This window comes from Homo sapiens, chromosome 2 (genome assembly GCF_000001405.40).
Source record: "Homo sapiens chromosome 2, GRCh38.p14 Primary Assembly".
Lineage (NCBI taxonomy): Eukaryota > Metazoa > Chordata > Mammalia > Primates > Hominidae > Homo > Homo sapiens.
This window is the reverse complement of record NC_000002.12, coordinates 56,359,932-56,386,439: the sequence shown is the minus strand read 5'-3', so window position 1 is coordinate 56,386,439 and position 26,508 is coordinate 56,359,932. Positions and strand designations below refer to the sequence as shown.

At 35.9% G+C, this 26,508-nt stretch overlaps 1 protein-coding gene across 7 annotated transcripts in view; it reads right to left on the bottom strand.

Annotated features, from left to right (window-relative positions):
• Positions 1-265: 265 nt before the first annotated feature.
• The window catches only part of CCDC85A (coiled-coil domain containing 85A), a 202,323-nt gene continuing 176,080 nt past the window's right edge, over positions 266-26,508 (bottom strand). For 2 of the 7 annotated variants that reach the window (XM_024452642.2, NM_001348512.1), the window contains exons 4-7: positions 13,962-14,096; positions 10,505-10,624; positions 6,592-6,690; positions 266-2,174 (exon numbers count right to left, since the gene is read on the bottom strand). In XM_024452642.2, the coding sequence (XP_024308410.1) occupies positions 2,085-2,174; positions 6,592-6,690; positions 10,505-10,624; positions 13,962-14,096 (444 nt within the window). In that variant the 3' untranslated portion in view covers positions 266-2,084. The remainder of the gene's footprint in view (positions 2,175-6,591; positions 6,691-10,504; positions 10,625-13,961; positions 14,097-26,508) is intronic. The other 5 variants (NM_001348515.1, NM_001348516.1, NM_001348513.1 and 2 more) reach the window with 4 other exon arrangements.

Below are 26,508 nucleotides of genomic sequence, written 5' to 3'. Positions count from 1 at the left end.
TATAACAGAAACATTTTTAAATATTTTAAATATCATTTGAAAGCTTTAATTCCATTATAATACAGAATGGTGCAAGTTGAGGAATATCTAAATATTTAATCCCTCATTATGAGCACATTTTAAAACATGCCTTTGGTTTATGTTTAAGATAATGAATCATCTGTATTACTATTATTACTACCATCACATAGGAGCATTAGGACACGTCATGACTATTACAAATGGACTCAATTTAGGAAAGACATTTTGAAGAAGACAAAGACACTGTGAGATTAAATAATTTATTACCATTGCTAAGATGAACACATATACTTAATACTCAATTTTATGCAGAACTTTAAAAAAATAGTTTTAATACAGTATCAAAATTTACACAAGTTTATTTTGTCAAAAGACCAGTGTCCCTTGTATTAGCTTCTGCAGGCTCTGCTGCAGGCACAAAAGCTTATTTTAAATGTCTTCAGAGGGTAGGAATACAACAATTTAAGGATGAAAGCTTTCCTAGGAAAGAAGGTGTAAATATAGCAAGCAATTTTCTTTTATAGAGTAATAACATTTTAAAATATAACATTTAAAAGGGGAGCTTAAATTGTAACCCAATTATGATAATTAGAGAGATAATTCTATAGTAAATTAATTCATAAATATTTTCTGAAAATAGATGATTTTTCATCACAGTAACATTTTTGAAAGTATAACAAAATTCCTTCACAGTCTCCTACTAGTGACAATTAACTCGTTATGTAATGAGCCCATCTAAAACAACAACAACAGAGAATATCTGCCATGAATCAAATCTCAGAAATTTAGAACCTATCCAAAAACTGGGAATTGTTGCATTTCTACTTTTATAATCTTAAACTACCATAAAAACGTAGCATTCGGTCACAGGCCTCTTGCACATTCATACAAGAAACTATCATTGCATTTGGATTAACACAAAATACCTATCATAGCATTTCCAGTACACACATTCTAATGTTATATATATGTATATGTATACCAAAAATAAGAAATAAACTAAGCAAAGCTAGCACACCTCTTTTTCAAACCTCAAGCAATCTGAACAAGAGCTTTTAGCCTCAATAATGAAGGACATGCGTCAGTTTCATAAAATGTTAGATAGCTGCAGTAGGCAAAGAAAGCTTTTTTCATAAATGCAGTGCAATATTTTAAAGTTTACATAAAGTTTATTAAATATACAGCATGTCTAGAAACTAAATTGTAGAAATTGACATCTCACAGCTCGAAACACTTAGAAAAATTATGTTTGTTGTTTTTAGTTGAAATTGTTAATATTAACACCAATGGATACACTGAATGAATATGAAGGTTGGTATGCCCCAAGATGTGTCTTTATGAGAAACTCATTAAGATGAAAAAAAAAGATATATTTATATTGATCAATTGAAGTAAATGGTACTCTCTGATAAGCACTCTACAACGTCTTGCTACCCTTCTAGCTGGTAGGGAGAATTTACATGGTATTTTTTAGCACCTCAGAAGTCAAAACAAAACTCCAGAAACTTAATCTTATCTTGCATCCAAATTAATTATGCATTAGGAATTACTAGTTTGTTTGTTGACTGAAGTGTAAGAGGTAAATGCCCAACTCTCAAACTTGGGAAGCTGGAAAATACCTCTTCATATCTTCAATATGATATGGTAGAAAACTCCTACCATTATGTGTAATGAGTCATCTCTATTCAAAACACTGAGGCTCCACTGGACTCTTAAAACTATTCAGGTTTCCCAATTACAATATTATATCTGGGGAGTTAAAAACACTTATTTCTAATGAAAACACTGGTACCAAAATGTTGATTTTCAAAGCTACTCTGTTTGAGATGTTCAAAGCTACCTTGTTTGAGATTGACTGTTGTGGACATTGAGGTGAGAGACACAGAATATCAGCTTGAGGGGAGAAGTTGTACTACAGGTTTTAGAGGGGAGATATGTGCAATGTACAATCACTCCATGTTATTCCATGAGTCCAGGTTTGTGGAAACCCACTCTTTCCTTTTTCTTCTTGTCTTCTATCACTTTCTGGCAGTGGTGATCTCCTGTTTGAAAAAGAGTGCATCTCACATTGGTCCTTTGTACTGGTTTCCTGACAAATGTTGCCTAATTCCAGGACACGAACCTGCAGCATCTCCAAGTTTCCTCCACACAACCTTAAAAAAAAAAAGAAGGAGTGAGTATCTTACTTTTCCTCTTTCACAAGGAGATTTGCATTTCTTAAGGGTAAATTAAGAGAGGAGCGAAGATGAAGTAAAGACAAGAGACAAAATATCCACATGAATGAGTTCAAATACAAAATAAAATGTGATGACAAGCTTCCTAAAACACAAGAACTACTTAGTAGTAGGGACTACTAAACCTTGTTAGTAACCAGGGTCAAAATTTTAAAATGATGTATTAACTTACTGTAGTTACGTAAGTGGTCCCCAACTCTGACTGCACACTAAGCACTTGAGGAACTCTTAAACAGTAATCCCCATCCTTGAAGATTCTGATTTCACTGGGAGAAGTGAGGCATGGACAACTGCATTTTTAAAAAAAGCTCTAAAAGTAATTCTAATGTGTAGCCAGAATTAAGAACACCTTGGCAAGATCATCCTGGTTCCTATATTATACATCCATAACAAAGGATATCAGTGTTTAATGTGCTGAGGAAAATGAAGGAGCTTTTGTTATTGAGCTATTTAAGTCCTGAGGTGGTAGTCTTAGGGCCACTAGTAAATTTCTCTGGCTTTTTCTACAGAGTGGGGTCATCAGTTGTCACAAATCTTAGCTACCAAGCAATATGATGTCTTGGATTTCCAAAACACAAAGCATCCAAATGTAGGCAGATGATAAGAATAAATTCAAGAATCACTGAAAGAGATACAATTACAATATGTTAGAAGCTGGGCCACATAGAGGGACAAAAGGTGCAATCAAGAATAATGTAAGCATAAACGTAAAACTACCGAATTCACCAATAATACATCAATACACTAACATTGATTGGAATACACACACATGCACATGCATGTATGTGCACATGCACAATAACAGCCATACCCTCCCAGACTATTTCACGCTAAGGATTATGATCAGATTGATTGATTGTGCAAAACTTTACAACACTCTGACGTGAACACAAAACTAGTTTGTTCATTAATTATTCATAAACTGTTTCTTTTGTTTGGTTTGGTTTTGCTTTTAAATAGAAGTGGATACTACAGGGAAACCCAATATCCTTCATAGTAATACACAATATAGGGCTCTGTTTACCTTCATTTCTAAGCCAAAGAAACTGTTAATCTCAATGCCTCAGCATATACCAATACATGGCATAAATATCCCATTGTACTCAAAAGGAGTTGAAGTTAGGGTTCTTAAATATCTGGAAAGGAATTATTAATATATAGCAATGGATGGCTCAAGCTATACACAAGAGACTTAGGAAAGTCTCATTTCTTAATAAATTGACAAGACACAAACACTGAATCAAGGAGCCAAAGGATGCTATGGACTTTCCTTTTCTAGCCCTTAAATACAATTACATCTATCCAGAATGCTTTGAATGTGTGGTTTAGAAGCAGAGGGTAGACTTAAGGACCTTACACGGATAACAGACACCAGCACTAGCTGGTTACAACTCAAAAGTGCAACTCCTCTTCAAATATTGAAATGTGGAACACAATGAGCTTAACCCAGATGTAACTATGTGGTGAAAGGAAACTCTTAAAGAAGGCAGAACTTTGCAATAAACCAACAATACAAAGGTTGACACAGGAGTAGTGACTTATTAACTAAAAAGGCATAACAGGTGTGTGTTTGAGACTGTGACTGAGATGACCAATCAGGTATTTCAACTGTCCTCAGGGAATTTACAAGAGCCAAACAGACAAACCTAAAATAAAACAACTACTACAAAAAGGCAGATTTACTATTTCTTAGGGGGCAGTACATTTATTTCTGTAGCACTGTTTGGGAAGAGAATAGCTAACTACATACTAACCCACATGATGGTAATATGAATAATAACCTTTTCGCTGTGTAGATGTCAACAACATCTAATCTCTAGGAGCAATACTAGAAATGACAGCAAAACTTCTGTGGTCCCAAGTTCTATCTGAGTCTTATAACCCATCTCATATTATGGGAAAACTTTATTTTTCTGTGACATTATTATAAAGGCATATAATTTCTCTACTAGAAGCCAAGCCTTCATAATCTTTGCTAGTTTCACAACTTATCTATGAAATTGCTTTACAATCTGCATTTTTCCCTATTCTGTGGCATTGACTATGTGTTTTTGATCATATAATTAATAATGGTGACAATAACATTTTTAAATTGTTTCCAAATATATAAAATTGCTTAAGAATCAGATTTGGGTTTGTTTGCATTTTTTCCTCAAATTCTGGGGATCAAAGACAAAAGGAGACAGAAAACATACTCCTAGAGAACTTTTAAAGGTAAACAAGGGGGGCAAGCTTTTGGCTTTCTGAAAGTATCTTATACACTAAAAAATAAAAATAATACTGTATGGTGCCTTTCAATTTATTTTTGAAAGTGCAGGCAAACAAAAAGATCAACATAAAACTAATCAAAATCCAATCCAGTAATGGGTCTCTATTGAGACTAAGATATGAATTTTCTAATGTCCAGAAATTGAAAGGAAGGAAAGCAAAGGAAAAGGGAAAGAAACAATCCTGGAATTTTTTACAGAAATTCTGGCATTAAGAACCATGGAGATGGCCCCCTCTGTAAGATAGGGTGCTTTTCACTTTTTGTTCCTCAGGAAAGGTCCTCAAAGGAAATCTTGGTGTACTCCTGACTTCACTATTCATTAGAAAATAGTTCGAGCAAGTAACTTAATTTCTGGGTCTTAATTTCTTCAAATATAGAATTAGAGTGTTCGGGTTCTTACCCAGGGGTTCATATCTGAATTGCCTGAGGTCTGATGGTAAACTCAGAGATCCGAATTATGAAGGAGGTCCACATACTATTCTTTGGACAAACACTGGAGAATGACCTCTATGGCTCCTTCTAGTCCAACAGTTCCTATTGTCTGAACTTTCTCTCTCATTCCATAGTCAATAGATGAGAAGCAACAGGCATTCCTAGGTATGTGGCTCACTTTTTAAAATTTATCTGAGGGAAATATTCAAATTGAAAATCTTAAGCACAGGTTGAAAAGCTACAGAAAGTGAATGGTGGTGCATTTAGGAAAGATGACATCTAGAACTAGATGTCCTTTTGAAAACAGACAACAGATATGCAGGAAAGAAAAACAAATAACTTAGGAAGGGTGGGAAGAGAAAAATCAGCCACAACACAGGCAAGCAAGAGACTACAAGTCTCATTCCAGCACATAAAAAATGCCCAGGGGACTTATGTAACATTTACTGGATTCCAGAAACACCTCGAGGAGGTTGATGCGTAAGTGTCTGAGAATATCTGGTCCTAATAGATCTAAAGCTAAAGGGTATTTCTAAGCAATTTTCACATCCTGATAGGATAGAGAAAAGAATATGAGGATAAAGCATAATGTAAAGCCAATTAAAATCAGTGTTTAACATGACCAGTGCTTAACCATGATTTCTTGCATTTAACAATGGCTTCCTCTATAATATTCCATTTAGCTATTTAAAGCCTCACAATTTATATTATTGACTAAATGATACATCCCATGTATATTACTCAAAATATTAAAATTTAGTCAGGGATTAATAGTAAAAATCCAAGCCATATTAATGATTGCGTTGAATATGCACGTGAAAATAACATATCTTTATTTATTTATTTATTTATTTTTTTACTGTGGTCTCTGACTTCATGAATAGATTTCTATTTGTCTATCCTGTTGTTGTTGTTTTTTTTTTTGAGACAGGGTCTCATTCTGTTGCCCAGGCTGGAGTGGAGTGGTATGATCATAGCTCACTGCAGCCTCAAACTCCTGGGCTAAAGCAATTTTCCCTCTTCAGCCTCCCAAAGTGCTGGGACTATAGGTGTGTGCTACTGTGCCTGGCCTAACTATCTTTTAGGTTCTTATCTGTCTTTCTTACCTTACTATATTCTGAGTTTGGGTCAACAACTGAAAGCTAAAGATAATACTTCGCATGACATGAAGCACACATATATGACATATGAAGAACTAAGCAAAATTACCTAGTAAGGTGGCGATTTTTTCCAAGAATAGTTACAAGTAAATCTAAAGGTGGCTGTATTTTCTTTATCATAGGTTTTTAAACACTGATCTTTAACAAACTTCTTAGAAGTATAAAATAGAAACCCATTTATTTTATCGAAATTAGAAACATATTTTAGACAGTAAATTCAGTATTAGCAAATGTTTGTAGAGTCTTCTGGAATACAGAATTGGCTGATCATCTCTAAATTGAATATTCTGTAACATGATTGTATTAATAAAACTACAATAAAATATACTGAAAATAAAAACAAGGGAAATTGGTTTTATTTTCATATAAAAACATAAAGGCATTTGGTCAGCATTTTAAAAATATTCATAAAACAATAGCTAAGCTACGATGTGGCTTTCAACACAGAATACACAATAAAGCACATTAAACTTACATTGCACATTTCTCTGACTATAGCTTTTTCTGTCTCACTAAGGTCATGTTCATACTCTTTACCCTGTTGACGATCTATAGTTTCCTGAACATCCAAGACCTGGATTTGTTGAAAAAGAAAAGCAAATTTCACATGGAAAAAAGCTTGTTAGTTATGATAAAACCATCAAGGAGCTCCACTTTGTAAAACCTTTAGTTTTCTCCATGTCTGCATATCAGAGTGGATTAGCATATGGAAACATATTTTTTAAATAGCTGATTGTTCTGAAATCTATTTGGAATGATTCTATTTGATTTTCAAATGGCCATTAAAAGCAATCCATTGCATCACTAATAATCAATGGAATTCATTAGTGTCTAAAATAAGTATATGCATTTACTTTGGTCATTAAGATAATCTCACTGTATCAACAATTTGGATATAGTCAATAACTCTTGCTCCACTGTAATGATGACCAATATAATTAACTATGTGCCAAATGGTCCAAATGATATGTAGACATGGCCTGCATAAAAGATGACTAAAAAAGATGATAGTGACAGGTGAAACTGGTCAAAACCCAGGAATATGCACGTAAGAACTACTGACCTCGCAGTTCTTGCCTGGACATGTTCCCAGTGCCTAAGAAAAGGCATGTGGAGGTGGCTCTTTGATAGTATCAAAGAGAAGCACTGGCTCCTTATAGTGAAAATATTTGAACAACACTTTAAATATTTTTCATGAAAGCAAAATGTCTTGGAATAAAATGCCTTTTAAACAATTTTAGAGGCCTATGTTTCCACTTCTCTAAATTAGCCCTAAACACGTTGAAAATAATATTCCTTTAAAAATGTCTAAAGTTTTATTGTGGGTACCTTTTTATACTACAAAAGGAGAAAATAACTTTGGCTTTCTGTGCTGTTTGTTGTTTTTATCTATATCAGTTTATAAATCAAAGTGTTGAAGTAATACAAAAAACTAATGCTCTCCCTAGAAGTTCCTATAGAATCCACACCAACTGCAACACTGCTAAGCTACTTGATTCTACTGTCATCACGGACAATGCTGATGTTCACATCTGCTACCTGTGAATTTACACCAATTGAGCCAAACTAAATGACTTAAGCATGAAGTGGGACCTTCAGGTCAAGTTCATGGACACTATCTGAATCTAACTAGAGTTCGATCCTGTAATAAATAATCTGATCACAAACTACACTCATTAATTTGAAACGTCTAGCCATTATTATTATAAAAATGCCACTTCTGAGCCCTGATACTCACCTCAGATTACAGTTAATTTACCTTCTTTACATATTTAGAGAAAATCACTGACTGTGCTTGGTGAATATTCATAGAAAACATAAAGAGCTCCTTCCTTGAGCAAGCTCATTTACCTACAAATTTGATTTGTAATGCACCTCAGAGAAGTGTACTTCAAATCAGTTAATTTTTACTAAATGAAGTAAAGCTCCAATTAATAGTTATCATAAATTTTAAAACAAGAAGAATATAGTGTCATCACAAATGTACTAATTTCTTACAGTGCTTTACATTTCCCACAAACCATGACCACAGATTTTATAAAGCCTAGCGTTTTCTATAAAATCTATCAGAAAGTGAGAAACTGAGCCACTGTACTAATTATTCTTTTCACAATAGACATATCTCATGATATAAATCAGCTCTAGACAGCTGGCTCTCAAAAACAAAACATGTCAAGTGGCCATAATTTCTTTTTCTTATAATGAAATCTTTTTAAGATGTATTTCCCAAAACTGATGTTTGTACATATTTCTGTGTCCTAACACAGTTAACTCATGGAAGTAAAAACATTTGATATTCAAGGGTCCCCAGTTTTCTAATAAAGATGTTTCACTTGCTCAGTATCACTCATCTGCCAACCAAGGACACTTATGTGTACTGAATATAACATAAAATCTCCCTCTCTTGAAACATATATATCTTTTTTTTTTTTTTTTGAGACGGAGTTTCACACTGTCACCCAGGCTGGAGTGCAATGGCACGATCTCGGCTCACTGCAACCTCTGCCTCCCGGATTCAAGCAATTCTCCTGCCTCAGCCTCCCAAGTAGCTGGGATTACAGGTGCCTGCCACCACACCCTGCTGAATTTTTGTATTTTTAGTAGAGACAGGGTTTCACTATGTTGGCCAGGCTGGTCTCAAACTCCTGACCTCATGATCCGCCTACCTTGGCCTCCCAGAGATAAAATTTTGTATGAAAATTAGAACTAAATTCAGAGAAAATTGAGGAGCTCTTCCTTGCCCTCCCCTTCCTTTTAGGCCACACTAACAGCTGCTTTGAGAAATCTGGAAAATATTTCAGTGTGACTCACTATGCTGATCTGATTCAAATAGCAATTGCCATTTAATAAGGCAACAGGCTGAAATGGCTTTCAAACAGTTTGAATAGGAGGACAAGTTGCTGCTGTTGGAGTGTGTGCAGATGCTATAATACTACAAGATTGAAGCCAATCTCTGGTCCATTTTCTACTTTTAAAATGCTTTTCAGATAGCTAGTGCCTGATTCATGCTAAAGTTCATCCAAGTGCTGCCACAGAGAACAAGATATTCAACAGTCCATAAACCAACACCCACTAGAGGCAAAGCAGTGCCCCCTCACACTGGCTGTGCCTTCCCAGGAATTCCTCTCAGTTGCTCACTTTGTGAATTATTCCAACAAAGACAGAAAATGCCAAGTGCACTGTCAGTGGCCACTAGCATGGTTGCCCTGCCTTCCCTCATCAATAATCAGTATATGTTTAGGAAAAGCAAATTCATTTTGTATAAGCTAAAGCAAAATATCCTGAGGGAGCAAAATCTTCTGCTAAAACTTCATCATCTCAAAGTGAAATAAACATTTTGAAGTTCTCATCTATGTATTTGTTTTGTGCATGCCACAGAAAGTGTGGCCCACTCCAAAAGAGGAGTGCATCTCCAGGCTGATGATAAATCATTTTGAAATTGAAACAATTTTAAGAAGAGTTGTGAAACTCACATGGTAAAAGCAGATCGGAAGCACTCTACCTGTTTTATGGGTCAGAAAGGTTTGATCAAAGCTACATGTTAGAAATTATAGATAGATTTGTTAGACAGTGCTTCATACATTGAAACTGATAAAATTTCAAGAAACCATCTCAATTTGTAAGATGATTTTTATCACCTGTGTTAGTTTCTTCTTTGAGATAAGTAAATATTTATATTGTTTATTTATTATTAATTGTACCTATAGTCCTGATTTTTCATTAGTTTTACTTATTGGAAAGCTCATTATTGGTAAAGAAAATAGATGACAAATTTTAGGCAATTTTTTGTGAAATCACTGCAAAATGTGAAGGAAGACACAAAAGTAAAGTAGCTTTATGTATAACACCATATATCTGTTTTCTATTATTCTATAACGGGGCATTAACTGGAGTTTGAGAACCCAATTTCTACTTAGAAGAGGAAAGAGTAGGTTTTTATTTATTTCAATATTTTATTTAAGTTGCATAATGTACTTCAATTGCATCAAGAAAGAATACTGTGGTATCCTTCCATATTATGACCAACTATTAACTTCCTATATTTGAAGACATCCACGCTACAAACATTGCACATAAAATACCTATCACAATTTTTTACAAATATGGATATACATGCACAGACTGTAACTTCGATGCCGATAGATATGAATCACATTCTCAAAACAAAACGATAAAACTAGAGATTCAACCATAAGTACTCAAACTCATTGTCAGTTTAGAACAATAAAAATCATACTTCAAAAATTAAGATTTAAAAAGTTACACCATAAGGAGTCAAAAAATAAAATATCTATGGTTCAAGCAAGACTGTGAGGACTACTAGACTACAGCGAACAAGCGACGACACAACTGAAGCTCTGGATAAATGGTTGCACACGATTGGTTACCTTAAGAGAATGTACCACAGGTTCAGGCTGCTGGGAAGGTGTGGCATGTCCACTGAAGCTAGCTGCAGAGTTGGGTGAACTGTTACTCCCATCAGCCCCTGATGACAACCTAAAAGAACCCTTAGTAGAAAATCAACAACTTTGTTATTAAAACAAAAGTCGTTTATAACTACAAAGATGTCATTCAATATTCAATTTCACTACCAAATGAGAATTAGCCATTTTGTTACTTTTTCCTAACCTAGTCTACAATGCTATCAATCTGTTCATTGGAACACACTTGCTGCTTGACCAGCAAGAAAACATAAAGAAGAGCCACTTCAATACATTGTCAGATGCCATCTCTGAAATGCCCCACCCCCAAGGAATGGCCCTTAAACACATTTCAAGAATGATTTTTGAAACTCAAAGATACTTAAGAGTAGGAAATTCATGAGTTACTCCATAGCTGAGTTAAACATGCTCACTCAGCAAGCCAAATGCCATATTCCATATGTCTCAGAATATGCAGACACATCACATTCTTGTGTTGGAGAAACTGTGTCTCTTATAAAACCCTTCTTTGAGGGAAAGACCTATAATAAAGCATTTTCAAAAAAGATTTATCCAAATTCAACGTTTTCTTTAAAAACTGAAAATTGATCTTTTCTGCTCTTTTTAAAGATGAAAAACAGAATAGATATAAACTACATATTTTTAGTTTAGTGGTTCTTCAACTTAATTGGTGAGAAACTAGAACCTGTACATGATTAATTTGACATGTGCAGGCCACATTCTTCTGTACAAGCACTGGAAATTTCCCCTAAGGATCTGTACTTTTTCTAAAGGGTGCTTGGGGGAAGACTAATGGATCAGTAAAGAAAAAGAGAGTATCAGTTATCTACTCTCCTAGAAAAAGCAGTCACATGGGAATTTTCCAAATCTATTTTTATGTAGATCATTACACTATTAGAGAACCTGAAATTTTAATTTCTGCCTATCAACCTATTTACAGAATTTTTCATGTCTAATTGATTAGTAATTGCTCCATTCAAGTTGATTCTATCAATCTAACACCCCGAAGAGGAGTCACTGAAGGTGTATCATGAGAATTCATAAAGAGAGAAACAACGGTAGTTTGGAATATTAACTTGCAGACTCTCTCCATCGCCCAGGCTGGAGTGCAGTGGCACGATCATTGTTCACTGCAGCCTTCAACTCCGGGGCTTAAGCAATCCTCCCACCTCAGCCTCCTGAGTATCTGGGACTACAGGCATGTGCCATTATGCCTAGTGACATTTTATCTTTTTCACAGAGACAGAGTCTTGCTATGTTGCCCAGGTTGGTCTTGAACTCCTGGCCTCAAGTGATCCTCCTGCCTCAGCCTCCCAAAGTGCTAGGATTACAGGCATGAGCAATCCTGCTCAGCCAAGAGAATTTTTATGCTGTACATTTTAGAGATAAGAAGAGAAAACTGCACCCAGCAATTATAGGTATGGATTACATGTAAACCATGCTTTATAAGGAAAGTTTATTATTATTAACTTAATGTTATTATTGCAGATTATTATTTTTGCAATTTGGAAGATTTTCTCCCTTTCTTTCTTGCTGTCATTTCTCCTATGTCCTCAAAGGCTCCCCCTGCCACCTCACTAGCCTACTGAGGCCACATTCTTTTCCCTGCTCAAAGAGTTCTATAATCCAGTCAGGTCCTGCACCCAGCCTCACTGGCCAACAAGGAGAGGAAGCAGTAGAATATGGCATGTACGTGGCTTCCTCAGTTTCTGTCCTCCATTGCTACTAAAACTAAAATGTACAGCAGGTGATGAAACAGGATTGTCAATTAGAACAGACCCAATCCCCTGTGGGAAAGGAAATTAAAACATTTGTTTTCCTGTATTTATAAACCAGATCAAATCAGAAACAATAATGCCTAATACATCTAATGGAAGGGAAATTATCTGAAGTTAAAAGATGGTTAAGGGACACACCCTTCACCCACCCTCATATTTTGGACATCTTCTTCCTCTATACTTTGGATCCTTTGGAATCAAATGGTTCCAAAATTAAGGAGTTATAAAAGGAAGCTCCTCTTTCCTGAGTAACCCTGGTCCTCTACTCTTCTCTTTTCCTCCTGGTACCACTCTTATGAATGCTTTTCAAAAGATTTCTCAGGTTATACAGAATTCGCTTCAAACTCTTGTTTAGGACCCACCATTGCAGTGCCATATTTCCTCTGACTTAGAAGTCATATTTCCTCTAATTTAGAAGGCAATAAACCTTCCCACTCTGAGCTACTTCCTTCCTGTTTTTACTTTCAAATCCTTTTCTGCCCAGCCTTTCTGCTTCAAATGTTCTCTTTCCAGACCTGGTAAAAAGATAAGCGTATCAATAATACCATCCTTTTGCTTGGGCATGGGCCTCTATCGTTCAGGGCATTTTGGTTTCAGAGAACTTCTAAAAATCAATGTAAACAACATCCTTAAACCAAATCATCTGAGCCATTTTCCATTGTTTAAATGTAAACAAAGTCCTGTTCTGGCCATATCTATTAAAAAACACACTTTTTTTTTTTTTATGAAAGTAGTTTTCTTTAAAAAATGGGATGGGGGCTACAATAGTATTTTGCCTGGAGTATACAGTGGGGGGAAATTCATCATTTAGGGATGAATGTTATACTTCAAACTAGCTTTGGGAGCCATGGACTACAAATCAACCAGAAAGATCAAGGCTTATATTTTATTTTGTTTTTGTGAAGCCACAAAGGTAACCAAGTGCCTGGTGAAGTTTACTTCCAACAGATGTTAAATAATTTTTCTAGACTGCAATAACAGAATGAAGCACCTCATTCTACTATATCTCATTTAGTACTATAAAATAAAAGGTTAGTTTTCTATGCGCTTAGCAGAATCAGACCAATATTTGGAGAATTATGAGGGTTCAATTTACATATACTCTCAGTCGACTAATACATTTTCACTGAACTATTTAAAAAAATATGCTACTGAGCCAAACAGGGAATTTAAAAAGAGAAAAATCTTACTAAAACTGGAAATGTGATTTCCAGATTAAGTGGCTTGTTTTCAAGCTACACATGATCACACAGTGCATGCATCACCTCTCAGTCAGTAGACAATTTTAAAGGGCAAAGGAGTACTTTTCTGAGCTTGTCTAGAGACATGATTTTCAAGACCACTGACCTAAACTCCTTTTATCATGAAATGTCCAGGGTACTTTTGTTCTTCTCTCCTGCATGCGGTTGCTCAACTTTCACCCCCAGATGTGGGGGAAAAAAACAAGAAAACTGTTTAGGAGGTGAAAAATTCTACTCCCATCCTCCCTCCCCAGACTTAGACATACAACTTTCTTTCATGTGTATGAACTTGTTTTCTACCCCCCAGTATAACTTTTTCTCTAGCAACAGAAGTCATCTGGTTATGCACAAGCAAATGCATCCAGCTGACTCATCTTCACTCACCGGGAGAGTAGGCAGGCATCGTCCTATTCCTCGGCACCCTTGCCACCACTGCAAGACCCGCCGGGCTCTGGACCCCCAGCCTTTCTCCATATTTGAGCTGTTTCTAGTTGGAGGTTGCCTTCTATTCTGGCTGGCCTTATATTTGGAACAATATGGTACAATCACTCAGAAAAATACTGTTTCCCAAGTCTCAAGAAAGCAGATAGAACATGAAGCTTAATGAGATGAACCACAATGACCACAATGGCAAGCTGTAACATGCACCTGTAGCTAGGGAAAAAATAAAAATAAAAACAATCTGAAGTCCTACATATTAGACCTAATCCTGATTTAAGTTTCTGGTAAACATATAACTACATTATAAATTCTATCAAAAAGTAGACGATAAAGTCAAAATTACAGAAAAAACTTGAAGGTATTTAAACAACTTTATTTTATGGGTTTTACCAGCATAAAATAATAATATGCTTTACCTGGATATTATACAGAAATAAACTACATAACTTCAGAACTTAACAAAAGTTATTTGAAATACAATTGGGAGCACTATGCCCTTTTGTTAAGAAGTGAAATTTGGGTATACATATTCAATAATACTGAGAAAATTAAAACTGCATCAAATTTTTAACAAAATTTCTGCATGTTGAAGAGAATGTAATGAGCTAAAAGGTCATCACTGCATTAAAATAAATATTTTACATAGAAAAATCTACATAATCATCAAACTTTGTATTCATAAGTTAACTAAATTTTTATGTATTTATTAGAACTAGAGGCATCACATAATTGAAAAGAAAAAAGTCCTTAATTTTAGCTTTTTCCATCACCAAACTGTATAATCCTATTAAAATGATCAGAAACAAAATGAACTTATTAGAACATGATTTCCTCTCCTGCCAACTTTCACAGAGACCTATAACTAAGAATATAATGTCCCAAGGAATAAGAAAATAATTTTAATAATTTAATAATTTTAATTATGGAAAATACGCAAAATGGTCCCAAAATTCTAGTGTCTAAATGTTGAGGTTGACTTTAGAAGACTGAAAATAAGAACATAAAATTTTAATTCTCATCAATTCATTTTTTTTGAAGTTAGCGGCCTATATCTGAATAGTACTGGTCCAATTTTCACTCTTCTCTAACTTTTGGAGGTTGAAAAAAGAAAATGCACCATGGTCTTAAGTGAAGTAAGAAAGAGAAGAAATAATGACCAGTAGTTGGTACTCACAAAACTCTTTTCTGAACCTATTAAATTGGCACCAGTGACCTATAAAAATAAGTCACACATACTCTACTTCTCACGTATAACAGAGGCAATTATATATTTGCACTTGGGTCATAATGATAATTTCATCATAGCAACATTAATTTGAACATTGCTCTTTTGATAATTAGTCCATGTGTAGTGTCTAATTTGTTTCCATCATCAAAAGAATTATCTCCAAAAATTTATAACATGATTCACAGCTTAATACTCACCTCCCACCCCAATCTGCATAATTCTATTTCTGAGATGATCATTAATGAGTAATGCAAATTTTATAATTATTTTTACAAATAAGGAGATCTAGTATCTGAATTTGATTATTTCCATAACATGCACCTCTCAGATCTTATCCTTTTTGGATTTAACAACTGAGTAAAACATATAGGCATTCTACTTTCATTCTTTCTTAATGTGTAGCAAGGCTAAATCCCAATTCCTCTCCATTGTAACAAAGCTTATCATCATACCCATGAAATCTAAGGTAGGATCTATGCCAACTTAGAAGCCAGCTGGCATGAGCGCCATTTAGCTACTATGTAGAGAACTCACAATAATTTCCAACTTTCAGAAAGTAGATACTACATAAAACAATAGCTATACTTTAAGTATTATAAAATGTTCCTTTAAAATATATTAAATATGTATTTTATAGTATTATTAATCTCATAAGGGGGAACAATAAACAGGGGCCAGATCTTTGTGGAAGAATAAACTGATGATATAACCATTTTAAAGGAAAAGGCACTCTTTTAGAACCAGGATTAATTAATTTTCTCCCCATGTCAGCATATATATTTTTTTAATCTAGGTATATAGAAAAGTGTGTTCTGGGCCAGCCATCATCATTAACTTTCAAATAAACTACATCAAAATGGTATTTATACACTAATGAAGGCTTAGTGTTTCGCAGGGCCTACAATCACCAATTACAGTGTTTGCTGAAGACAGTTTCATAAAACGTAAGAAGCCTTCAGTAATTCAGTCGTTAAACTTGTTTCTGGCAACTTGGGGGCTCAAAATGGTGGAACTCAGATTCTGGTCACTAATTGGGAGAACAATTCCAAACAGTCTTAAGATCGTCACTTCCTATTTTCTGAGGAATTCTGTTTCACTTAGTTTTGTTTTCTGTAGTTTTCTAAAATTCCAAGTTTGTGAAAAAGAATCCCTGAATGACCCTAACACTCCCATTGTGTGAGAAGTAAATTATAGATTACTTACTCTGTGGTAAGTACTCACAGAAATCATAAAAGAATATGAAGAAGTATGAATCACTGAGTCTCTTTAAGTTTCGCTATAACTGTACTAGTCAATAGTTTTTATTCCTTGAAAACTCTGGAAACTTCTATAGAGGTAATAGTGTAGGGTTTTTCAGAAAACGAAGTATTTCAAAAATTTGTGAGGAGGAAAGAAGAGTGAAAATCAAGTACTGAAAAGAAGAAAAAGGGGGAAATGGGAAATCCGAACTGTACTTCTCACTCACCAGGCATCTCAGCGAACTTCAGACACACATAAAGGTTCCTCTTGAATGATGAACAGAAAAAGTCCCCAAGAACTATTTGTTGGAAACCTCAGTAATAAAGTATGAAGTGACCTATGTTTTAAGCTAAGAAGAATAAGTCAGCCTGACTTGAAGACTTTTACCTTGCTGACTTTGAAAGGCATAAAGATGGGCAAATGAATTCACATATGGACATTTGCATGGGTTTAGCATGAGTCATAGCCTTTAGTCCTCAGGACTTTCGGGGTCAGATTCTGGTTAGTTCTTCAAACTTCAACAGGGTATAAAATTCTCTGTACTTAAACATGAAATCAACATGAAGTTTTGAACAACTACATCTGCAACATTTTCTCTTCAAACTACGACCATTCTAATAATAAATAGTTCTCATCTATTTATTTAAAGACGTACAACATTCTCTAAGACATTATAGTTTATCTTTCCCTTATTGCTCACAATGAGCTATATATGTAAATGAAGGGAATAAAAACCAATTTTGCAAAAAAATAGACCATTTAACTTTTTTACACTGTCGTGTTTCTTTTCTCAAATTTGCGTGAATTAAGTGTTACTGTTCCTCATAGAAATAATGAAAAACACTAAGAAATGTCCAATATTATATGTTATCTAAAATACATGAATCACAAAACGATGATCACTCAGAATTTGATGTGTGATCTCTGCAGTAGGGAAAATTACCTAAAAAATAAAGCTCCTAGAAAAATCCTTTATAATGTTTTAATTAGTAATGAAGTCAAGGAAATTTTTTAATTTAATGAAAATTCTTCCTAAAAAAAGTTTTGTTTGCACGCCAGAAAAATGGAAAACAAATATACTGAGTTTCTTATTGAATATATACATATACATATATGTACATATGTATGTGTATATATAAAAATATATATGTACTATATAAATATTTCCAATTGACTAAAACTCACATTCAATAGAGTAATACTGTAGTGTTACATAAAATAGTTTCTCACTTTGATATAAATCAGATGTAATGCACTTATAACAAATTTGAGACCCCAGCCCTCTCATTCACTATAGAAGGCCAACTACGGAAGCCTGAAGATTGATCAGCTAAAGTGGTTTCCTGTTACTTAAAGATGCTTAATTTTTTATAATTCCTGAACTTGGTTAAACTATCATATAATATTTAATACCTCATCAGAGTGTATGCCTAGTTTAAGGGGGAGGATAAATTCAGTTTTCCCTTATTACAGGGCAAGGCAGATACTTTGCTTAATCTCATCAGGGAAATAATATTTTGTTCAGTTTGGCCAATCTTCATTCTGACATATTGTAAAACTGTCCTAGCAAATAAATAAAAGCTCTGATTAGAAGAGATTTTAAAGGTCACCTTGGCAAACCCTCTCCAAGAGATTCTTGTGCATAGGCTTAGAAATGCTAAGACCCTCTTGCCTTACTCTAATGTTAATATTTAGTCGGTTATATCCAAAGAAAAGTGCATTTTTCATTTAAATTAACTAAAGAATCTATTCAATGCTGATGTAAAATAATAAGTAATTTCCTGGATGTATAGTCATTCATTTATTCACTTAACAAACATTAATTTAGTAACTATCAGACGTGATATTGCATGCAATGCCATATAGATACCTATTCCAACGAATTTTTGTTGAAAGAGAAACACAGTGAGTTCAAATCACAGACTCCAGGGTCGCAGTGCCGGAGTTTAAATTCTTGATCTGACACTTATGAGCTGCATGACTTTGGACAAGCTATATGGCCTTTCTGTGCCTTAGTTTCCTCATCTATACAGTGTAAATAATAATGGTAAAATGGTACGGTCACTCTATGGGCTTGGAAACTTACATGGAAAGAGCTTTTAAAACAGTGTCTGGCCCACATAAGTGCTCTATAAGCATTTGCTGTCCTTATCATGAATGTTTTTGCTTTGCTTGTCAACATATTTTATAACTTGTCAATTTATGTCCGAATGTTTATTATTGAGAGTGTCAGTTCTCATTGGGGGCGGGGGTGATTTGGCCCCCAAGAGAAAACATTTGGCAAAAATGCCTGCAGACATTTTTACTTGTCAAAACTATGCAGTTTCTACTGGCATTTAGTGGGTAGAGGCCAAGGATGTTGCCAAATATCTTAAAATGCACTGGACAGACCCCTCACAAAGAAAGGATTATCTAGCCCAAAATGTCGCTATAGCTGAAGTTGAGAAACCCTGATTTAGAGAAAGAGAACTATGTTGGGAAACTACAAAGCAAAATTTCTGGTGACAGCTCTATAGCAGATTTTGCATATGAGGACATGTTGCCCACAGGATTTGGAGCTTGAAAGGATTTAGAAGGAAACTCCTTAAGCTTCAGCCCTCAAATGGTCTAAGTATAAAGGCAGCCACATTTCCACCCCCAAATAAGAAATTACTCCAATAAAAGAAACAGAATTGAAAATACCCATATCATCCTACTGTAACAACACTAGCAGAAAGAGAATACGCTGTGGGCAGGCACAGGGCAGTGGTCCAAAGGAAAGAGTTCTTGAGATAGAGACATATAGTATGCTACAGTACCTAGAAAATCGTGACACCAGTCCCACATAGAGAATACAATTGGCAGAAGGGGCTCTGTGGAAATTATGGAAGATCATAAAGCTTACTTAACAATTTGCTGGGCAAAGATTCTGCACTTAACTTGAAGCAGTCACATTAGGAAAGAATAAAATTGCCAGCAAATAGAAGTGGGGGCCCTGACACATGAAACACATCTCAGTGCTAATGAAAGCATTATAAGATAATGGCAAAAGATTAAATAGATAAAAAGATAAAAGAGAGATTAAATCATAAAAGATGAAAGAAATAAGAAGGAGAAATCTGGACCAGGAGGCGACTACTCTCTGCGTCACATGTGGTGAAGGATTGTAGCCTATGTACAGACTCCTCGGCAGGCAGAGGACTTCTTGAGGGCCTGTTTTTGACATAACAGCTCTCAATCACTAAGCTCCTACCACGTTAGCACTACCCTAAGTGCTGTCCATTAAAAGATTAATAAAACTGGCTAATGTGAGTTCCTAAAATGCTGGGTGAATATCCAAAATATAGAAATAACTCAAACATCTCAATAGCAAGGAAACAACCCAATTGAAAAATGAGCAAAGGACCTGAATAGACATTTCTTAAAAAGAAGACATACAAATAGCAAAGGATTTATGCAAAAATGCTGAACAGTTCTAATCAAGAGAAAAATACAAATTAAAACCACAATGAGATCACCTCATGCCTTTTAAAATGACTATTATCAAAAAGACAAAAGATGTGTTGGCAAGAATATGGAGAGATGGGAACCCTTGCACACTGCTGGTGGGAATGCAAATAAGTATAGCTATTATGGAAAACAGTATGAAGTTCCTTCAAAAAATTACAAGTAGGACTACATATGATTCAGCAATCCCACTACTGGGTATACATTAAAATTAAACAAAATCAGTATGTCAAAGAGATATCTGCACTCCCATGTTAACTGCAGCATTAGTCATAATAGCCAAGATATGGAAACAACCTAAGTGTCCATGAATGGATGAATAAAGAAAATGTGCTATCTATATATACAACAGAATACTATTCAGCCTTAAAAACGAAGGAAATCCTGTCACTTGTCACAACGTGGATGAACCTGGAGGACATTACACTAAATGAAATAAGTCAGGCACAGAAAGATAAATACTGCATGATCGTACTCATATATGAAATCTTAAAAAAAAAGTTTATTTCTACTTAGAGAGGAGAAAGGTGGTTACCAGGAGTTGAGGGGATTGGGAAGGAGAAGGAAATGTCTGTCAAAGGATACAAAATTTCAGTTAGACAGGAGGAATAATTTCAAGTGATCTACTGTACAGCATGGTGACTATAGTCAATAATTTATTGCATTCTTGAAAAATACTAAGAAAGTGGATGTAAAGTGTTCTCACCCAAAAATGATAACTATGCGAACTGATGTATATGTTAATTAGCTGTATTAAGTCATTCCACGATGTCTAATACTTTAAAACATCATGTTGTACACAGTAAAGATGTAATTTTATCTATAAATGTAAAAAAAGTTTTTTTAAAGATACTAACTGTGGGCCTGGTAATGTTTTCAGTAATTTATACCCCAGAGTGATTTTTCCTTCTTTGGGTCCCAGAAGTCTCCTTCTAGTCTATGCACTCATTCTTTGGCTCCTGGGTTACAGAGAGATCCAGATGATCCTAGGGAGGGTCAGATTGGTTGGAATAGCTCAGCAGCCTTCGAAGGAACTGGATTAGAAGCATGTTAATATGAATAACTGATACAGATGAACTGCTACACACCAGATTAACATCAGCTCTGTGCTCATTTGACCTTCTCCACTCCAGGCACATAACTGTGGCTGCAACCATTACATAAAATGTGTATCTATCCTAATAAACAAATGAAAGTAATATTAATTCACACACCCCTCATTTATTATGCCAAATAATGGCTGAGATTGATGTCTGTGGAGTCACAGTGGACGTAGTAAGCAGCTTCAATTCAGAGAACCAAAAATCTTAGGCTGCTGACATGTTCAGGAAAATAAAATTAGTTCTATCTTCCTGTAGTAGAAGGATGTGAGCACAGGATATGAGGCCCAGAGTAGCAAAAGCTGAGTCCAACATGACATGCAGGAGTTGCATGGGAAATCTCCCATGCCGTAAGAAGGATTTGAAATTTATTCTATGTGGAGCCACAGATGTAACAGAAACTGATTGGTGGTGGACAGATTGATCTGGTAATAGTGTGGAGAATGATTTGGGTGAGGCCAGACTACCTGGGATGAAGTTCCAATTAGGAGATCAACAAAGAATTTGAAGGGAAAAAAAGTATTACTTATTGCCTACACTGGAAAATAGCAGAAGAAATTAAAAGGACAATATTGATGGATTAGAGGGCAAGACCCTATGAACTTTAATGTCTATTTGAATGTAGGCAGTGAGGTTGAAGGAGTTATCCAGGATGACTATCAACTTTCTGGTTAGGTACTCGCTAAATGGTCATGCTATTAACCAGCATAGAAAATACCGGGGGAAGTAATAGATCTAACTCTTTCATCAGATTTTTAAAATCAAGATCAAAGAAGTGATTAATAATGCAAAGCCCTCAAGCATTCTTTGTCACGAATACCCTCCAAAAGGTTTTCTCCTGACATGTGAAATAAGAGAGTTTGCAAAACATTTAAATTTAAAATGATATTAACTTCATGCAGTGCTCACTGTATCACTGATGAAAATATCTCTGCAAACAATAAAATGTTATTGGAAGGAAAAGAAAGTAATTTTGAAATACCTGTTCCTCCAGGTGAAACTTACAGATACAGAAATATAGTTCCCAGAAAAAATAAAACGAAATAAAAGTAATAATTACAGAAGGTTAGCAGGATGCCTTTTTACAAAAATTACAAAGGGCAAACCCCAGGAAGAAAAGAATTAATATCTTTTGAAAGGGCTAAGACAGAAAACACCCAGTGTCTCTGTAGCCAGAGTGACGGCAGATAAAGAATAACATTGAAGGCCTGGTTGAAAAAAAGAAAAAGAGGCTGTTAAACAATACCTAGGAAACATAGGCAACTACTTCTAGGCAATGAGTCTATATGCTTAATACTTGACTTTTATTAACTATAGAACTCCCAGTGAGAAACACTGAAATTCCTACAGAAAAAGACTGATACTTCTAAATTGCTTTTCAATCAGGCTGGTATTAAATAGTAAAAGGTTATGGCATTGTTGCTGAGAACATATCTGAATACTTTCAGGTTTTGGGCTTATTTTTTAAAAGGGAGAAAAGGAAAGCACAAGTAGGACACGGAGCGTAAGGGCATGGAGCTGAATTGCCAGTATGGATGCAATGGCAAAGAAGTAATGCTAATTAACATTGCATCTGACTTGCAGACCAGAGCCGATTAATAATTGTGTTAAACACCTCAGCATGCTATCAGGGCCCAGGGGAACACATGCACAGAACTAGAGCCCCAGGAACTAAACAGTGACTTAAAATAAATATTTGCTGAATTGACTAAGAAATATTCCACTGTGAGGTGGTGTTTGCTGCCCTAGCTTTGGCAAAAAGAAGGGTCTTAGGTTCTTTGATGAATCTTCTAGTATATGAAGCTCCCATGCAAAATGGGAAAGTCAAGACAAGAGAGAGGTCAATAGAGAAGCAAGAAGAGTCAGCTTCTTGTATGTATCCTTACAGCTACCTATCTAGGATACATACAATAATACAAACAAACACAGCTACCAGTTAGGCTGTAGGTCTACCCATGCCACCTGCTGAAAGATCTATCATGGAGCGTTAGCAATGATCTTATGCTTAAATGTTTACAGAAACGAGAGTAGCCAAAATGAATCCAGAATCCAGGCAGTGTAGCCTTTGCATAATTGGTAGTAGTAATATCTCTGGCAGGGAAAAATGAAATCCACCATCAGCGAGACCATCATCAAAGCACAAAAGGAAGCATCATGGAAGCATGAGCTCTTATTGTCACAAACAGCTCTTACTGGAAAGGAAGAAAACAAAGAGATTTTAAAAATATGTTTATCTGTGCCCTACCTTCTTATAAAAAAAATACGATGGAAAACAAGATTTTTTTATTCAAACTATATATACACTCATTTAACTGAATCATATTCAAAAGGATAAGTCTAGGGCACAGAGAGTTAAAACAAAATATAAAACATCTTTGCAAAGTCAGTCCATTGAAGTAAGTCCCAAAATCATCCATACCTCTGGGAGACTAAAAAAGCTAAATGGGGCCGGGAGCAATGGCTCACACCTGTAATCCCAGCACTTTGGGAGGTCAAGGGGACAGATCACCTGAGGTCAGGAGTTTGAGACCAGCCTGGCCAACATGGCAAAACCCAGTCTCCACTAAAAAAAAATACAAAAAATTAGCCGGGTGTGGTGGCACATGCCTGTAATCCCAGCTACTCAGGAGGCTGAGGAAGGAGAATCACTTGAACCCAGGTTGCAGAGGTTGCAATGAGCTGAGATCACACCACTGCACTCCAGCCTGGGTGACAGAGCGAGACTTCACTGGGCAACAGAGCGAGACTTCATCTTAAAAAGAAAAAAAGAAAAAAAAAAGCTAATTGGGTCTCTCTTTGCAGTCTACACTTGGCTCCTCTCTCCTTCTCCATCTTTAAATCTTGGGGTATCCAGGATACAGTCCACAAAGCTCTTCTTTTTTTTCCCTCAGCATTCATTGATGAGAAGTTCCCATTCAGTCCCATAGTTAAAATATATATATATATTTCATTCTTCCCAATTTTTTGTCTCCAGCTCTGATATCTCACCTGAGTTTGACATGTACACATCCAACACTATGTGACATCTCCTTGTTGATGTCCAACACCTCAAATTGACTATGTCCAAAATAGAACTTGATTCCCCTGCACCTCCTAACCTGTTCCTCACAGTCTTGCCTATCTCAGTAAACAGCACCACCAATCATATGATTGCTGAGATCAAAATCCAAGAAGTCATCCTCAATTCTTCCCAGGGTTGACACTCTGTACCATCCCTGGGCTGCCATTCACTGCATAGTCTCTGTGAGTAGTTCCTTCTGGGGCTGTCAGTGCCCAACCTATGAAGCCGTATGCAGTCCCTTTCCTTTACAGTCCACATTCCATCTATCATTAAGCACCCTTAGCTCTACTTGAAAACACACTGTGAGTCTAACCCCTCCTCACCATCTCCACCCTACCACTTAGTTCAAGCCACTCTCAGCTCTCTTAGACTACCAAGCTAGCTCCCTAATGAGTGTACCAATGTCCCCTCTCCCTGTCTCTACCTTCTTCAGTCTCGTGTTTACCCAACATGGAGACTGATCCTTCAAAAATGTGAATTAATGATATCACATCCCTGCCCAAATCCTCCAATAGCATTCCATCGACTCATATCCAAATCCACATGCTTGAGCTTGGTCAACAGAGCACATAGGGTCTTCCTGTTTCTCCAACTTCATCTCATTTTATTCTCCATTTTACCCACTCTGTTCCAGCCACATTGGCATTGTTCCTCTTTCTGAAATATCCTTGCTGTTCCCACTTCCAGGAATACTCTTTTCCATACTTCCTTTATTCAAGTCTCCTCAGATGAGAGGTCTTTTCTAAATATTATCGTACTCTAGTCATTCTCTTATTCTATGCCCTGCTTTTATTTTCTTCATAGTGATTACCTCTTTTGGGTAATGTATTACATATTTATGGTTTTAAAAATAATAATCTAGCTACTAAAATGTAAGCTGCATGAGACAGAGGCCTTAACTCTCTTATTTAAGACTGTATTCTCAAACAGTATCTGTACATAAGAGATGCTCAAAAAAGATTCAAGGGGTAAAAGATTAAATGAATGGCCAATGCTAGCCATCAGCCTTCCATGACCTACAGAAATTCTATTCCCTATTTTTTTTTTTCTTTTTGAGACGGAGTCTTGCTCTGTCAACCAGACTGGAGTGCAGTGGCGCGATCTCCGCTCACTGCAAGCTCCGCCTCCTGGGTTCGCGCCATTCTCCTGCCTCAGCCTCCCGAGTAGCTGGGACTACAGGCACCCGCCACCACGCCCGGCTAAGGTTTTTGCATTTTTAGTAGAGATGGGGTTTCAACATGTTAGCCAGGATGGTCTCGATCTCCTGACCTTGTGATCTGCCCGCCTTGGCTTCCCAAAGTGCTGGGATTACAGGCGTGAGCCACCACGCCTGGCCTCTACTCCCTATTTTTAAGGGATGTTTTGCTTGTGCTAAGAAAAGCAGTGGAAGCCCACTAATTATCTATCACTGAATAAATATTCCTGTACCAAACCAACAATAAATGTTAACCTTTCTCATTCCAAATAGTGAGGTCACTGCTTCTGTTTAGCCTATATGAGATTCTGGGGATAAAAGATAGCAGAGGTAACTGGAATAAAACATGGTTTCATCTCATCTCTCCATACAAACTTTGACCACAACTACTGTCACAAACTAAAGCTTCTTGCTTAACACAGTTTATTTTTTCTAAAGTCTCTGTGTGATAGGAAGAAAATGGCCAAAATTTTGAGGGAATTACACAGGTAAAGGTAGCCCTTAACACGTACAGCCAAAACTTTCTGAAAAGTGACACTAAAGCTTTAGGAAAGGCAAAATTTTAAAAGAAACTTAAAAACTAGAATTTTTGCAATAGCATTATCCTGAAAAACAATCTGGTTAACCAGTAGTAAGTTCCCCGAGGCTGGTTAGAGATGTCTTTTTAAAAAAAAAATGAAAAGCATTTTTGCTAACTCAAGAGAGAAATAACCCAAAGACTAATGAGCTCCATTAATCACTCACTGCCTGACCCTCAGCAAGTCACTTGTCCTCAACGCTAAAATGGAGAGGCCTATCAATTAGCTTCACGTGGTAGCTGTGAAGAGAGACTAATAAGCCTGATTGCAAAGCATTCTGAAAACATTAAGTGCTACAGAGAGGCTTGAAAATTGCTAGGTTGACATTAGTCACTGACCAAGCATTGTGAATGCATTTGGTTAATCTTTTTTAAAAAAAGTTTATTTTATTTTTAATTGACCAATAGTAAATACATGTATTTATAGCATACAACGTGAACATCACACTGGCTAATCTTTTTAAGCTCTCTTCCACCATTTGGCTCTTCTGATGTCAATCAGTCCTGGTGACAAAGACAAGTAAGTGAGGATTCTTCTCACTTTCCTCTAAGTCTTGTCCTGACCCACAGAAAACATGCTGAAGATGTGAACTAGCCTTTGTTC